Here is a 15,974-nt window from a genome sequence, read left to right on the forward strand (position 1 = left end):
AAAAGAAAAGAAAAAGAAAAGAAAGAAAAATGTGGTGGGTTTCCTTTTCCCATGCAAAAAGTAGCCAAATTTGACAGGCTGCCTCCCCGCTGGTAGCCTCCTTCCAGCTACACGGCATCCAGAAGCCCCCTGGCCCGGGTGACTTCACAAGTTGCCAGTTGGCTACAAACCAGGCTAGCTCCAGAGCACACTGCTGCCTTGGGAAGCCCTGGTAAACCTCACTGATCCTGCTGTGAGGGGCCCAGCAGACCAGGAATAATGGAAGAGACACCTGTGGCATTCCCTGCAGGTTTCCAGTGCTGTGGTGGGAGCATGGCATGTGTTAGAACATCCAGGGGGACAGCAAGTGTAAGGCTCTGTCAACACTAAACTGCCAATAAAGTAGGGCATTCTTTAATTGTCCAGTAGTTTCATAGCAAAGACACAGGGCAGAAAGGATGATGCAGTCTCCAGATTCAAGTGGGTACTGGTGGTTCTCCAAGTGTTCTTTTGTGAGTGAGTCCCTATTCCACAATGGAAAGGACTGGGTCCTACCCACTTCCCCGCCTGTATCTCCAACACCCAGAAGACATCAGTAACCGAAATGTACTAGATGCTCCAGACATGCTTATTAGGTATATGGATAGGATGATGGGCAAGGCTAGGGGGCGCCAGAGGCTGCTTTGTTATCCAATATCTGGAGCTGCAGATAGGGGAAGAAAGGCTATAGAGGCTAGATGGTTTTTCCAAAAGGAACCACGACTAAAATGCATGGTGTTGGATAACAATTTCTGCAGAATATGGTCCTAATGACAGAGAAATCTGGATTCAAATCTGGGCTCTATCACTGATTGGCTGTGACACTTTGGGAATGTTCAGCCCCTCTGTGCCTCTGTTTCCCCATTTGTAAAGTGCAGGTAAGAAAAGCATCTTAGTGGGGTAGCTTTCGGACTTCAGGTCCGAAATCAAGGGTGTGGATGGTAGCGATGGTGCTTTCTCTCCCCACATCCATGCCAAGGCACAGCTCATTCTGGAAGAGCTTCCACCAGCACTTCTAAGCCTCCCAGTTAGGTGACGGAGAGGAGCTTTTATTGCTCTTTCCCCTAAAGGAGCACCCAATCTGAATGGCAAACACCTAACAACCTCTGGACCACATCTTGCAGGTTCTGGGGTCAGTGTCAAAGGCCTGCTGGCATCAGAGACTGCCTCTGGCCCTCTGACCAACCTATGCCTTCTCTCCAAGGCATCCTGTTGGTGCCTGCTCTTCCATGAGTTCATGGATGGGAAAGTCAGGCCCGCCTCCCTGTGGGCCCAGGGCCCTACTGTCTTCTTTTCAGGCTGAAGGCTTGTAACACTCAATATAGCCCATTCCAGAAATTCCCCCATCCATAATGCTGATACCTTGGTTGATACTTCTCTTCCTTGAATCTATTAATGAAAACCAGAGGGAAGGAGGGCTAAGTCTCCGGTGGTGCCTCCGCATGCTTAGCATTTGGTAGCGAATGATGGTAACACATGAATAAGCCTCTTAGAGGGCCTGCTGTGTGGGTCTCCTGCTTCAACTCCAGTACGTGCGTGGAGATCAGATCCACTGTTACCCAGATCAGCGGTTCTCAAGGGTGGTGGCACTGCCCCCTGGGGGCGTTTGGAAAATCTATGAGGGTATTTTGGGTGGTCACCAAGGAGATGGCATTTAGGAAAAGGGGGAAGGACCCTAGACATCCTGCTATGTGTGGGACAGCCCTGCCCAATGAAGAGATGTTTCATGTCCCTCGTGACTTTCAAATATTTCCCTAGACATACACATAAGTTTTAAAAAGTACGTATGATACATATTTATACCTATGTGTATATTTCTACATATCTGTGTATATGTACAAGTATGTCTGTATTTTTAAATTTAATGTCAGCAGATATAAGCAAAAATATAGACAAATATACCTCATTTTATTACTAATTATTACCAATGCCATATTGGCTGGGAGTCACAAGTCACAGAACTTCTCTCAACTCAGTTAAAGATTCCTATTTTGTTTTGAGTTTAGGTGTTGGAGGGGAACTTCTACTGCTCATTCACTTTTGTCAAAAGGCATTACTTTTGCATTGGAAAAAACAAGATAATAAAAAGTGGGCAAAGTTTGTTAGACAGTTTATAAGAAAAATCATGATCCTGAAGAATGATATTTTGAAAATAAGCTTACTATATATTAATGCAATAAAATCAAATTACCCCTCGCCCCCCAAAAAATCTGCTTATTATTTTCTGAGCCTAGAACCTAAACTGTTTCACATATAAACACATCTTATTTTTGCAAACACTTAATTTTTTAGAAATTCAATTTCTATGAAAATGGAAAGGAAATCATAAAGAGTTGTTCACCATCTAGGAAAATCCAGGTGCCAATGCCAACATTATTCCCATCATTTGAGCCACCAAGACTGCAAACGTGTCAGTCAATGTTTGAAGCCGTTGACCGTGATTCTGAGTGTGTCTGCATCTGACTCTTTTGTCATGACTTCTGGTGCAGGCATGTTTGAGTATGTCCTCTTCTTTAATTTCTCTTTCCTATTTCAATTAGGGCAGTATATTTGATTTCTGAGAATTTTATATGTAGGTAGGTTATATAATACATAAACCTCATGTCAGAGTAGGAAAATGTTTGTTATAAAAAGGACCCCTGGAGACTGAGGGCTGAGAGCCACTGATTTGGCCTCTCAGATCACGAGGCAATGAGTTCATCAATTCTGACTTCCAGATATTTGCTTAAACTCTCCCAGCAGTCATAACAGAGGAAGTTTGGAGAAGAATTCTGCTTGTCACAGCACATGACTCCAGCCCTAGCTTTGTGTAAAACAGGACCTTCATCTCTCTGGGGTGAAGTGAGGGTACATAGGGACTGCCCCGCGCCATCTTCATCCGGAATGAAAAAAGCTGTTTCTCAGCAGAAAGGTGGAAGCAGAACTGGGTTGTGCTACTTACAGAGGTCTTCAGTGGCAGCTGGGACAAAGGCAGCCATGGACTCATAGAGATCCTCGTCACAGCCGGGGTTGAGCGAGCATTTCATAAGCAGGTCTGTGGAAAGGTGGGCCATGGACTCGTACACAGCATCAGCCTCCTCCCCGTGCATCAGTTCCTCTTTAATGTGACTCTTGAGCATGTCCACCGTTTCCTGAAAGAGAAGATGAGGCCCACGGCGCCCTGAGGCAGCCTGACTTTCCGGGTGGAACTTGGCCCCCGAAGGCACTTGTGGCCAGCAAAGTAAAGGCTCCCATGAGTCAGGATTACAACTGGTTGTGTGTATTTGTATTTTCCCACCTGACTGAACGCTCCTTGAGGCCAGGCTTCCCACCTTTTTTAGTTTATTTCACGTTTTTGTTTTAATCTTCGTATCTTCCTACAACACTAAGCACAGAGTTAGGCACTCAGGAAATACTCGTTAAATGTCCACTGACCAGAGGATACAAATTAAAAATTACTTTCCCATGGCCTGATGTGGTGGCTCACACCTGTAATCCCAGGACTTTAGGAGGCCAAGGCAAGTGGATCACCTGAGGTCAGGAGTTCGAGACCAGCCTGGCCAAAATGGCAAAACCTCATCTCTACTAAAAATACAAAAATTAGCCGGGCATGGTGGAGCACGCTTGGAATCCCAGCTACTCGGGAGGCCGAGGCATGAGAATTGCTTGAATCCAGGAGGTGGAGGTTGCAGTGAGCCAAGATCGCACCAGTGCACTACAGCCTGGGCAACAGAGCAAGACTCTGTCTAAAAAAAAAAAAAATACTTTCCCGTGAGCACCTTTTAAATGTCAGGTACAATGCTAGGTATTTGCCTATACCCTATCTCCTGTAATCCATTCCACTACTGCTTGAGAAAGGTATAATATTCTCTAGTTTACAGATGAGAAAAACAAAGCTCACAAAAATCTAGTATCTTACTCAAGGGCTTGCAATCCTGATTTCTGATACTTCTTCTACACCCTAGTGGTTCCTCCAAAGGGAAAAAAATGACACAAGAAGGTGTGACCTTTACTGACTAGCCACGCAGAAATTCAAATGAGCTGAACAGGAATGCAGCTAAGGTGTTCTCGCCCTGTGTGTAGTCAGAGGTCACTCCGCAGCTTGGCACACTAGCCCCTGTTCCTTCAGCAGTCTCCTCCAAACTGTCAGGAACCCTGACAGTTTCCAGGGGTTCCAGCCTCGATTTTATGTCCTATGTGCCCAAAAGGAGAGATGATCTTGGATAAAGTGTCCTGACATCAGAAAGGTTCTCCCCTGCCTCCCACTGCCATCCTGCCTCCATGTGATTGTGAAGCCAGAGAGGTGACTTCCCTGAAACCTCTGCACAACTTTTCCTGGTAAGAAACTTTGGTGTTTCACAATCCTTATTTCAGCATCAACCCACAAAAATCCTCATTTTCACCACCACTACCCTAAGATAGCTAATCTTTTATTGACACTTCGTTAGTTTCCTCACGAGACCCAATAAAACAGATGACAGCTGTGAAATGTTGGAGATTCCAGATCTCACCTTTGGTTTTGATGTGGTGAAAAAAGGAAATGGGACAGTTCTAAGAGGCCATAAGCAACACAAAGGGACAGTCTTTTGGTCACAATGCTGAAGCTGCATCGGTTGAAGGTGACCACAGGGAGAAAGCAAAGATGGTATGACCTAGATTGACTTCGGCACAAAATGAAAGTGCATCTTTAAACATCCCAGTTAAATACAACAGGATAACAAGCCCGGGCTTCAGTATCAAACTAGGTGCAAATCCTGTCTCTGCCCTGAATAGTCTGTGGCCCTAAGCACAGTGACTTTGCCTTTCTAAGCCGTTTTCCTCTTTTGTAAAGTAAGGCTTGCAATACTGTCAACTTCAAAGGATTGTGGTGGGGATTAAATGAGATAATACATTTTCAAATCAAATACATTCAATAAATACTAGTTACTACTATGAACACAGTAGGTTATTAATAAAAACTATTGGCATGGAAATGAAATGCTACATTTGGTACATTTGTGACTTTAAGAAAAAACTGAGTAAATACACCCAGACTGAGAGCACCTTTTAGACTTATTTGTGTCAGTGACGCCCAAAAAAAAGGACTCACACCATTTTATTCAAAACACTTATACACCTGTAAACACTGGGAAGTCCCCTCTGTGCCTCCGTGAATCACTGTCTTGTAGATTTTCCAACACAGAGCAGAGAGTTAAGTTTCTGGGGAGATATCAGGCTCTGTCCTGTCTGGAGGTCGAGAGCAAGACCGGGCTGTGTTTATTGCTCCCTGTGAGGTCACAGCCCCATGCGAGAGGCTGAGCTATTCTCAGGTACCCTCTGGGAGTCTGTGAAGAAGGAGGAAAACCACGAGGGACTGGGATCAGGAAGAGCAGCTGCTTCCTAGGCATCAGAGGCAATATTGGGGCATGGAATAAGATGTAGACGTGGGGTGCGATCAGCCTCAAAGAAGGACCCAGAAGTCAATGTTTGAGGAGGAGCTGAGGGCCCCAAACCAGATGATCAGATAAACTGGGCATACCTGCCTGTCTTAACATGGGACCCAGGCAGGGGGTTAGAAAGAGAGAGCGAGGCTGTCAGCAGGAGGTGGGCCTTAGAGTTGCTGCCCTGATGCCTTTCCAGGTGCACAGCTTTATTGAGGTTTCTGCTGAAGAAGAAACCAAGCCTAATACAGTTCACCGGGGCCTGAAGGCGGGTGAGGCAGCTAGGAGCATCCCACCATGGTGCCCTGGAGGCAGGTGAGGAGGTGGGGGGAGATGATCAGCCTCTACCTTCAGCAGATTCACTCTATAAAGGTTTCTGTAAATTCTGTGAGGGTGAACCTCAGTGCTTAATAGAAATGATTTCCTTTTACCTTCAAAAGAACTCTATGACTCAAACTATGATTATCTTCCTTCTGCATATTAGGAAACTGAGAGAGGATACGTGACTTACCCAACGTCACAAGGCTAACAAGTGTTGGTACAGGAATTTGGACCCAGGTCCATGTGACTCCAGACCTCATTTCTTAAGCCCACACATACTGCCCATGGCCAGAAGAGGTACATGAGGACATGCTAGAGATAAAATCTGTTCGTATTTTGGGTGAAAGGGCAGCCATACTACCACAGAGTGCATTTCCAATCCTGGGCCCCTCCTGCCTTGACCTTACCACATACTCGTCGATGAACTGCCGCAGGTCCCTGAAGCCGTGTTTCTCAGCGATGGTGTTGGGGTAGTGGCCATGCTTGTTGGCCACGCTGTACGCCTGCAGGGCTCCTGGGCAGGTGAGCAACAAGGCAGTGAGGTTCTTCAGTCCATACTTCGCAGCAAAATGCAACAGGGTGGGCAGCTCTTCATCCCTCTGATCTGAAAATTATCAAGGAAAACTTAATAGGCAGATAAAAATAAAGGCACAGGGTGCCCTTGTTCATGGAGATGAAGCTGCCAAGACTAGCATGGCAACAGAAAGCACTCAGCCATTACTTATTGATTGACTGACCTAACATCTAACAGCTTCCTTCAGGACACCACTGAAGATCATGTCCTCAGATGCAGAGGACATAATTTTTTTTGTTGAGATGGAGTCTCACTCTGTCACCCAGGCTGGAGTGCAGTGGCGCGATCTTGGCTCACTGCAACCTCTGCCTCCCAGTTTCAAGTGATTCTCTCGCCTCAGCCTCTCAAATAGCTAGGATTACAGCTGTGCATCACGCCCAGCTAATTTTTGTATTTTGAGTAGAGATGGGGCTTCACCATGTTATCCAGGCTGGTCTCATACTCCTGACCTCAAGTGATCCACCTGCCTCGGCCTCCCAAAGTGCTGGGATTACAGGCATGAGCCACCATACCCGGCCATAACATTTTAATTAATTAGCAAATCTAATAATGAATACCCTACCATCTTCTCTAACAGGACTGGAGAATCCTGAGAAAAAGTACCAGTTCAAAATGTGCCGGGTTTGTTTAAAGGCTTAACTAGCAGCCACACAGTACAATAGGAATCATGTTTTGAACTTCTCTGCAAAGTTCAGAGCATGTATTTCTTAAAGCTATTGTTTCGTGCTGATTAAAAGAAAGCAGTTCATCCTCTTAGCCCTTATTCCTAATTTCATGATAAGTACACCAAGTAATCCTGGGTATGTTCCTTAGACTTTCCGCTGCCTTTAGTTCTCAACCAGAAAATACTTCCAGACTATCTCAAAAGGACCTGGGAGGATAAGTAAGATAGTATTCAGCAGGGTTCCTATTTAGGAGAGATTTTGAATGTTGGTCTTAATGCACACAAGCCCCACCAGGACGTCAGTTCACTCTCTAATTGGTGAAAAGCAAAGTACTCCAGAGAGGTGCTGGGTCCCCACGGACCCCCTCCACCTACTGACATCTGAATACAGCAAGTTAAACTCAACCAAGAAAATGGACATGTTTGTGTTTGCGGAGCTGGGGACAAATCTCTTTTTTCATAAACGTTTATTTTTAAGCCCAACAACTTTATAGACATACATTTATATACAAATGTATATTTTTTAACATGACAAACCCAGCCTTCTATTCCAAATATGACCTTGGAATGAAGGGTCTGAAAATATTCCCAGGATCTCAAATTGTCAGGCTATGAAATACTTTCTTCTAAGCCCCAAACTTAATAGAGAATAGTCACATCTACAAAAGTGCTGCAAGAACATTCCATAGTAGGAAAATGGGGAGAGGCAATACGAAAGAGAGTCCCCCAGGAGAAGGCCTCGAAAGTCATGTAAACTCACCCTTATGGTTCTCTTAGACTACAGAAGGATGGAACGTAGGCAGAAGGTAACCAGAGACTTGGGTCCCATTTGTGTAGTGCAACCATGGCATGAAGGAACGGTGGTGTCCACAGAAACACTACAATAGGCATCCTGTCCAGAACACCAAGCATCATCCCCGTGCAAGGGGTGTGACTCTCTCAGCTCCCAGCATGTCACATGTGCACAAGAGGCTGCTCCTCCCTCATTAAACAACTACTTGTTTAGAGCCTACAAAGAGCCAGCCACCCAGGAGCAGTTCCAGCCCTCACTGAGCGGACAGCCTAGCAAAGAAGACAGACACAGCTGAGGAGTGCTAGGTCAATGGCACCCAACATGCTGGTGGTCGGGGGGTGCCAAAGCAGGTGAATGGAACCTACTGGAGGTTTGGAGAAGGTCTTCTAGGGAAGTGCTACCTAAGCTGCTACAGGGAAGTGAGAGAAGTTAGCCAGGTAAACAGCAACCAAGGCAGGAAGGAAGGACTATCTTTCCATGAGTCTAAGTGGCAAGAGACAGGTGAAAAAAGCTCATACCTCCTGCAGATCAAAGCATAGAAAAGACAAGAGGGAGTGTGGAGAGAGATGAGGGCTTGTTCACAGGTTAAGCAGTTTGGATTTTATCTAGAAGGCAACTGGGAACCTCCCCTGACAGTACTTAGCTTACCTGTTCCTCATGCTATCCCTATGAGGAATAATCATAACAAGCTCCATTGGCTTACGCCAAACCAATTTAAAATCACTCATTTCCTGCTCCTCCGTAAGCCACCACATGTGTTTTGAGAAGGGGGTAAAGTATTCAGATTTGCAATTGAGAAGAATGAGGCTAACCAGTCAAGAATGAGTCCTTATCACAGGATAGGTTATAGAGAAGGGACCCAGAAGAGTTACAGCAGAAGGTAAACGCGTATGTTGATGGGATGCTGAAACCAGCAGGCTAGAATCAGCCCACGTTGGTTTCCTGAGGTTTGACTGTCAACTTACTTGTCATCATATCTTCTTCTTCCAGCTGGTTGATTCCAAAGAGGTGCAGTCCGCTTGCAGGGATATTGTTCTTCAGGGATTCGGTTAGCAGTTTATCAAGGGTCTCTGTGTTGTAGGGCACAATTTTAAAGGCCTGAAAACAAAAGTGAAGATGGTCAGATCTGAAATCCAGCTCTCTTCCATCCCGCAGATTCAAGACTGATAAGCCATGAGCAGAAATTACATGCCCAGAAATCTCAGGTTTCCTTGTAATATCCTTACCTGACACATGAATTCCACAGGATTCGCGGCATTGGACAATAAATTCCCAATTTCTTCCATGTCAGTATAATAGCTGATAACGGTTTCACACACCACTAAGTCTCCAGAATATATCTTCAGAGAAACGTTCCCAGATGAAAGGTCTGAACAGAAGAAAAGACACTATCAAAATTCCCAGGAAAAACAAGCATCCAGGGAAAAGTGGCTGTGGATATACACACTCCATCTGAGTGGTGAGGACACTAATTGGGGGCTGGAAGAAAGATCTTGGAGGTGAGCTGGGGCGGGAGTGAGGGAAAGGGTGGAGGTAGCAGGTGAGCAAACCAGCACATGGCAGGGCTCTGGGCCACAGCAATTTATCCTCATTGGGTTTGCAACTTAATTTTCAAAAAATTTTCATCTTTTTACTCACTACTGTAGGCCCAGTGCCTCAATGAACAGGAAGAAAATTCGGGTTTAAGGCACTTTACACAAAGGCCAGTGGTCACAGAAGGAGGGAAAAATCATGGGAGGTGAAACTGTGTTTCTGCCACATTGGGGCAGCTGAACTGGCTCACTGCAAGTCATGAGCTGCTGTCATGACTACGCACTCTCCCTGGGGCGGGATGCTATACCACAGGAAGGGGTTTTGAGGGGGCAAGAGAAAATTAAAAATAACACCAACCACAGAGATTCACAAAAGAGGAAATGCGACAACAGAGACCATGGAAAAATATTCACCCACACTAGTAATCAAAGAAATGCATATGAAAACAATGGACTACTCTTTAACAAATATCAAAGTAGCTGGGTGCCGTGGCTCACGCCTGTAATCCAGCATTTTGGGAGGCCGAGGCGGGTGGATCATGAGGTCAGGAGATTGAGACCATCCTGGCTAACATGGTGAAACTCCGTCTCTACTAAAAATACAAAAAATTAGTCAGGTGTGGTGGTGGGTGCCTGTAGTCCCAGCTACTTGGGAGGCTGAGGCAGGAGAATGGCGTGAACCTGGGAGGTGGAGCTTGCAGTGAGCTGAGATCATGCCACTGCACTCCAGCCTGGGAGACAGAGCGAGACTCTGTCTCAAAAAAAAAAAATCAAAGTAGCAAACATATTTAAGATGATAATACCTGGCATTGGTGGCATTGGTGACAGCATAGCAAATAAGCAATGAAGCCCTATGTCATCACATTCACAGGGGACTACTTACTGGGAGCCTTCACTGAAATGGTGTACTCATTCTCCACCTTGGCTTCCATCCTTACAGAGGGAGAATCCTCAGGAGAAAACTCTGCTTCTGTCGCCACCCTGTCATCCAGCTTACATCTCACAATAACATAGACAGTGGTTTCTGCCTGAAACGGGAAGCCGGTCATTGTCCCCTCTCCCTCTCAGATCCCCGTAGGGTGTTGGGCCCAAGGGTCTCCCCAGCTCTCTTGCCCTAGCTCTACCTAGTGAGAATCTCTGGGGACAGGGTGGACTCAGTGGTCCAGTGCTGGGCAGTGAACTGTTTGCTACCAGTCCCAACGAGACAAGTCACAAAAACCAAGAGTAAATATTTATAGCAATTGGATGGAGTCATTTTATGTCTGTTGAAGCTGATAATAATAATAACAATAATAATAATAATAAAACTTAGCTGGGCGCGGTGGCTCACGCCTGTAATCTCAACGCTTTGGGAGGCCGAGGTGGGTGGATCACAAGGTAAGGAGTTTGAGACCAGCCTGGCCAACATGGTGAAACCCCGCCTCTACTAAAAATACAAAAATTAGCCAGGAGTGGTGGTGGGTGCCTGTAGTTCCAGTTACTCAAGAGGCTGAGGCAGGAGAATCACTTGAACCCAGGAGGCAGAGGTTGCAGTGAACCAAGATCACACCACTGCACTCCAGCCTGGGCAACAGAGGCAAGGCTCTGTCTCAAAAAAAAAAAAAAACACACACACACACAAAACAAAACAAACAAAAAAAACCTTAAGGCCGATACTTTATACACTTTTTTTTTTTTTTTTTTTTTTTTTGAGACAGAGCTTCACTCTGTCACCCAGGCTGCAGTGCAGTGGTATGACCTCAGCTCACTGCAACCTCCACCTTCCCAGGTTCAAGCGATTCTCATGCCTCAGCCTCCCTAGTAGCTGAGATTACAGACACCTGCCACCACACCCGGCAAATTTTTCTCTGTTTAGTAGAGACAGGGTTTCACCATATTGGCCAGGCTGGTCTCGAACTCCTGACCTCAGGTGATCTGTCTGCCTTGGCCTCCCAAAGTGCTGGGATTACAGGCGTGAACCACCGCGCCTGGCCATTTATATGTCTTTTGATTTCATTTTGCATAGCATTTCTGTTGCATTGTTTTTAATGAAATCATTGGTCCATTTCAGAATTGGACATCTTTTTAGAAGTCCTTCGCCACAGATAGCTTGAGAAGCCCTGCTCTGGACCAGTCCTGCTACTCAAGGCGGAGCCAAGGGAGCAGCAGCATCAGCATCCCCCAGAAGCTTGTTAGAAATGCAGAGTCTCAGGCCCCTCCTGGCCCCACTGAGCCAGAGTCTGCATCATAACAAGATGCCCAGGTGACACCCGTGCACTTTGCAGCCTGAGAGAAGCCCTCCTGGGCTCTGCTCTTCATGCAGTCCTGGATTTTACCACTGGGCAAAAAGAACTTCTCGGGGGATTAATTTTCCCAAACCATCGAGCGCCTCGAATAGCTCTTTTAGCTTGCTTTAAGATCTCACACTAAGCCTGCCAAATGGACTGACTCTGCTGTGCTGGTTACGTGGGGGGAATGAGCCTCTCAGTCTGAACTGGTGAGGGCAGGCTCTCCAAAAAACATGGGGAAAGGAGAGATTCCTGGCCATAGCGAATCCCCAGATATTCCTCCTAAGACTCTGCTATAAAGTCCTCAGATTAGCCCTTCATGACAAGGGCCATGAGAGGGTGTGGCAAGCTTGGACTTTATGACACGTGATGTGGGGGGTGATCCTGGCTCCTGGGGCTGCTGAGGCTGCACACACATGTGCTGTGGTGGTCGTCCCTCCTGCTGCAGGCCCAGCCTTGTCCCACCTACACCTTCTGCCAGGGAGCATGAGGAGCCAATGAGAATGTGTGTCTCCTCTACTGACAGTCAGGACCAAACCCCGGCCTGCCCCTTCCCCTCTCCCCAGGATCCAGAAGCCTGAAATCGGCAACAAGAATCCTGGGATAACAGGCAGTCAAGATAGGAGAAGGAATGAGAGCCTGGAAAAATCACAGAGGAGAGTGAAGGAGATAATGCTTTGGTGGCAACCCCCTTTACCCATGGGCACCCAACAGCCTGACCAGAGGGGCATGGGGAAAGCAGAAAGTGGCATGGGAAGATTTAAAATGGAAATGTCCACAAAGGCATGGCCAGTAAGGCAAAGGAGTGAGATAGGCCTTGTATAAAGAACAGGGACTGTGGGGACCCGCCAACTGGGGGATGCATGGCCCATGTACAGGGTTGCTTGGCCCCCGCCAGTCATCTCAGGCCTAATATGACCAGATTCTGATTCAAAGGAAGCTGGAAACACAGATTTTTATGCCTAACTTTTTAAAATAAAATAGAAAAATAAAGATGGGAGTCTCACCATGTTGCCCAGGCTGGTCTCAAACTCCTGAGCTCAAGGGATCCACCCGCCTCGGCCTCCCAAAGTCTTGGGATTACAGGTGTAAGCCATTGTGCCCAGCCAATGCCTAACTTTTAAAATACTATGCAGTCTAGACCAGGCATGGTGACACATGTCTGTAATCCCATCATTTTGTGGGGCTGAGGTGAATGGATCACTTGAGGCCAGGAGTTTGAGGCCAACCTGGCCAACATGGAGAAACCTCGTCTCTACTAAAAATACAAAAAAAATTAGCCAGGCATGGTGGTGTGTGCCTGTAATCCCAGCTACTTGGGAGGCTGAGGCACAAGAATTGCTTGAATCTGGGAGGCAGAGGTTGCAGCGAGCTGAGATCTCACCACTACACTCCAGCCTGGATGAGAGAGACAGACTCTGTCTCAAAAAATAAATAAATAAACACTGTGCAGTCCAAACCAAACATGTCTGATATGGTTTGGCTATGTCCCCACCCAAATCTCATCTTGAATTGTAACTCCCACAATTCCCAGTGAGAGGAACCTGGTGGGAGGTGATTGAATTATGGGGGGGCGGGTCTTTCCTGTGCTGTTCTCATGATAGTGAATAAGTTTCATGAGCTCTGATGGTTTTAAAAAGAGGAGTTCCCCTGCACAAGTTATCTCTCTCTTTGCCTGCTGCCATCCATGTAAGACATGCCTTTCCTCCTCCTTGCCTTCTGCTATGATTGTGAGGCCCCCTTAGCCATGTAGAACAGTAAGTCCAATTAAATCTCTTTCTTTTGTAAATTTCCCAGTCTCAGGTATGTCTTTATCAGTAGCGTGAAAACAGACTAATACAATGACTATCAGTTAAATCTGGCCCAAAGAAACAGTTGGCAACCCCACGTAGGAAGTGCTTGCCCAATGCCTCACGGCCTCAGCCTGCACAAAACCACCCACAAGGGTGAGGAAGCCAGTGCTGCCCACTGCCAAGGCTCCCACGCTGTCTCGCCTCAAGGAGCCTGCAAAGCCATCTTAGCAAAGAGCTTGTATCCATAAAGGAAGCATTCTGCTGCTCTGAACTATCATAAATGCCACACGTTTTTAATTAGGAAAGGAAAAATAAAGAAAAACCATCAGTACTAAGGTAGGATTCAAATGGCAGTGGCTCATCAGTTGGGCCCTCACACTCAAGTCATCTGTAATGTATGCCCCACCCCTGAAAATGCTAGTCATATGATGTATGGCATTTATCTGATCCCTTTAAAAAGCAATATTGGCCAGTTGGTTTCAGCCGTCAAGCTTCAAGGCACTTCCTTGGGCCATGGCAGTGGCCAGTGATGGAGAAGCAAGCTGTCAGATGCCCAAGATGCATTTCCTTCCTCCCAGCACTAGGCTACCAGGAAGAGACACAGGCCTCTAACTTTAGGGTTAGCGTTAGTGTCTGGAATGCTCCTGTCTGCTGGTCTCCTAGGTGCTCTACGTTATTACTGATCCATAGAACAGAAGTCTTAGACTGATGACACACATCTCCCTGGGCTAGTCTCTCTCTTACTCAGGGGAGCTGGGTGTCTCCAGGGCCCGGGTAACAGGGTACTCAAAAGAAATCCCAAAGGAAGGCTGCAATTATACTGAGGTGCAATACAAGAAACCACTCTCTTTACTGCAACAAATGCATGCATTTGAAAAGCCCAAGTGCTGACATCCAGCTACCAGGCCCCCAGCAGTGCCTACCCCACAGCGAATGCGGTCCGGCTGCACCACCATCAGGTTCCCAGGTGAAGTCACCGTCGGCAGGTTCTGCTGCTTCGAGTAGGAAACAACCTTCTCGTCCTCAGGCTCAGTGTCAGTGACTGAGTCACAGCCAGAATCTACAAAATAGAGGACACCGCTGAATGGGAACGGCAGGAAGGAGAACTGTGGACATGTTCCACCCCATGAGAGCCCCAAATATTGCAAAATAGGAAACGGCTCTGAATGTCAAACCAATACAAGCAGAAGGGACTGACTCAGGAAATCATGAAAGGCGACCTAATGAAGACAAGCCAAACAGCATGTAGGCCACAGGGCAGAATGACAGCAAGAGGGATGACAATCATGGAGGGGAAGGCCAGAAAGTCTGAGGCTGCAGGTTTAGTCTTAACCAATGGGTTTCCGGAAGCTTTACCTGCAGACTTCCTGCAGGGATGAAGAGGAGTGAGGAAAGGAAGAAGGCCCTTTCCCCTTAGGTGGGTTCAAGTAGGGACTGTCCACTTAAAGGTCATTCTTGGAACATCAAGTAAAACCTGCACTGTCCAGAAAGCCACTAGGTCTCAGGGTTATGGCTAGCCAATGTATCCCCTCTGGAAGCAAAAGTGAAAAGCAATCATTTTCAACAAACTTTAGATAAATCTAACCAGGCTCCACAGGCAACACCTGTACCACGGAAAGATTGGAGCATGCACAGAGTCAGGGCTGGTGAGCAGGGGTGTGCAAATGTGTGTGGTATTGGCACAGAATGAGATGCTGCTGAGAACCTACCAGAGCTCTAAGGCAGGGGCTCTTAACCAGAATCTGTTAATTGATAGACCTACCTCTGAGGTTGTGTGCAAGATTGTGTGTGTGTGTGTGTGTGTGCATGCACATGTGTATGCATTTGCCTGCACTTTTCTGGAGATAGTTCAAAGCATTCATCAGATCCCCAAAGAGGGACAGAATCCCAAAATGGTTAAGAATGGTTGAGAGGGCTGGGCGTGGTGGCCTATAATCCCAGCACTTTGGGAGGCCAAGGAAGGCGGATCACCTGAGGTCAGGAGTTTGAGACTAGCCTGACCAACATGGTGAAACCCCGTCTCTACTAAAAATACAAAATTAGCCAGGTGTGGTGGCACATGCATGTAATCCCAGCTACTTGGGAGGCTGAGGCAGGAGAATCACTTGAACCTGGGAGGCAGAGGTTGCAGTGAGCCAAGATTGCACCACTGCACTCCAGCCTGGGTAACAAGAGTGAAACTCCATCTCAAAAAAAAAAAAAAAAAATAGAATGGTTGAGAGGAGAGAGAAGTTTCATCAGTCTATTTTTGGGGTTTGCTCTTATTCATTCCTTAACCACTTATACAAGCAGCCAAATATGTTAGGTACTTGAGGGAACCCGAGGACGAATCAGACACTAACCCTGCCTTCAGAGAGTCCATCATCTAAAAGGACAGGAGAGGTGAGAAGCAAGGGTTAGTTTGGCTGATTCCTGCAGCCTGGTTTCCTGGAAGAAAATTGGCCTCTGCAGAGTTTGTGGCAACTGTCCTGGTAGAATGCTAGGGTTACGAAACAGCTGCTGATAGGCACCCTGGAAAGCTGTAACCACAGGCTTTCACCCTAGACCCCAGGTCATGCTAGGAAGAGGCTGTGCTTCCACAACCATAAAGGCCGAGTTGGGGGCAGGGCTACA

General features: G+C 46.8%; 1 protein-coding gene across 4 annotated transcripts in view, besides 2 other annotated features; it reads right to left on the minus strand.

Moving 5' to 3' along the window:
- Positions 1–15,974, minus strand: part of PIK3AP1 (phosphoinositide-3-kinase adaptor protein 1) — a 127,200-nt gene that overhangs the window by 49,199 nt on the left and 62,027 nt on the right. For all 4 annotated transcript variants that reach the window (XM_011539248.2, NM_152309.3, XM_047424566.1 and 1 more), the window contains 6 exons: positions 14,285–14,421; positions 10,185–10,329; positions 8,996–9,138; positions 8,735–8,867; positions 6,146–6,342; positions 2,960–3,149 (listed from right to left, as the gene is read on the minus strand). In XM_011539248.2, the coding sequence (XP_011537550.1) occupies positions 2,960–3,149; positions 6,146–6,342; positions 8,735–8,867; positions 8,996–9,138; positions 10,185–10,329; positions 14,285–14,421 (945 nt within the window). The remainder of the gene's footprint in view (positions 1–2,959; positions 3,150–6,145; positions 6,343–8,734; positions 8,868–8,995; positions 9,139–10,184; positions 10,330–14,284; positions 14,422–15,974) is intronic.
- Positions 2,959–3,028: an enhancer, noted in NCBI's record as "active region_3829". NCBI's record gives its function as "activates an Ori minimal core promoter by ATAC-STARR-seq in GM12878 lymphoblastoid cells {active_cell/tissue: GM12878}" and the evidence as "EXISTENCE:reporter gene assay evidence [ECO:0000049][PMID:35858748]".
- Positions 15,440–15,499: an enhancer, noted in NCBI's record as "active region_3830". NCBI's record gives its function as "activates an Ori minimal core promoter by ATAC-STARR-seq in GM12878 lymphoblastoid cells {active_cell/tissue: GM12878}" and the evidence as "EXISTENCE:reporter gene assay evidence [ECO:0000049][PMID:35858748]".

The sequence above is a fragment of the Homo sapiens genome, chromosome 10, assembly GCF_000001405.40.
Source record: "Homo sapiens chromosome 10, GRCh38.p14 Primary Assembly".
In the NCBI taxonomy this organism is placed as follows: domain Eukaryota; kingdom Metazoa; phylum Chordata; class Mammalia; order Primates; family Hominidae; genus Homo; species Homo sapiens.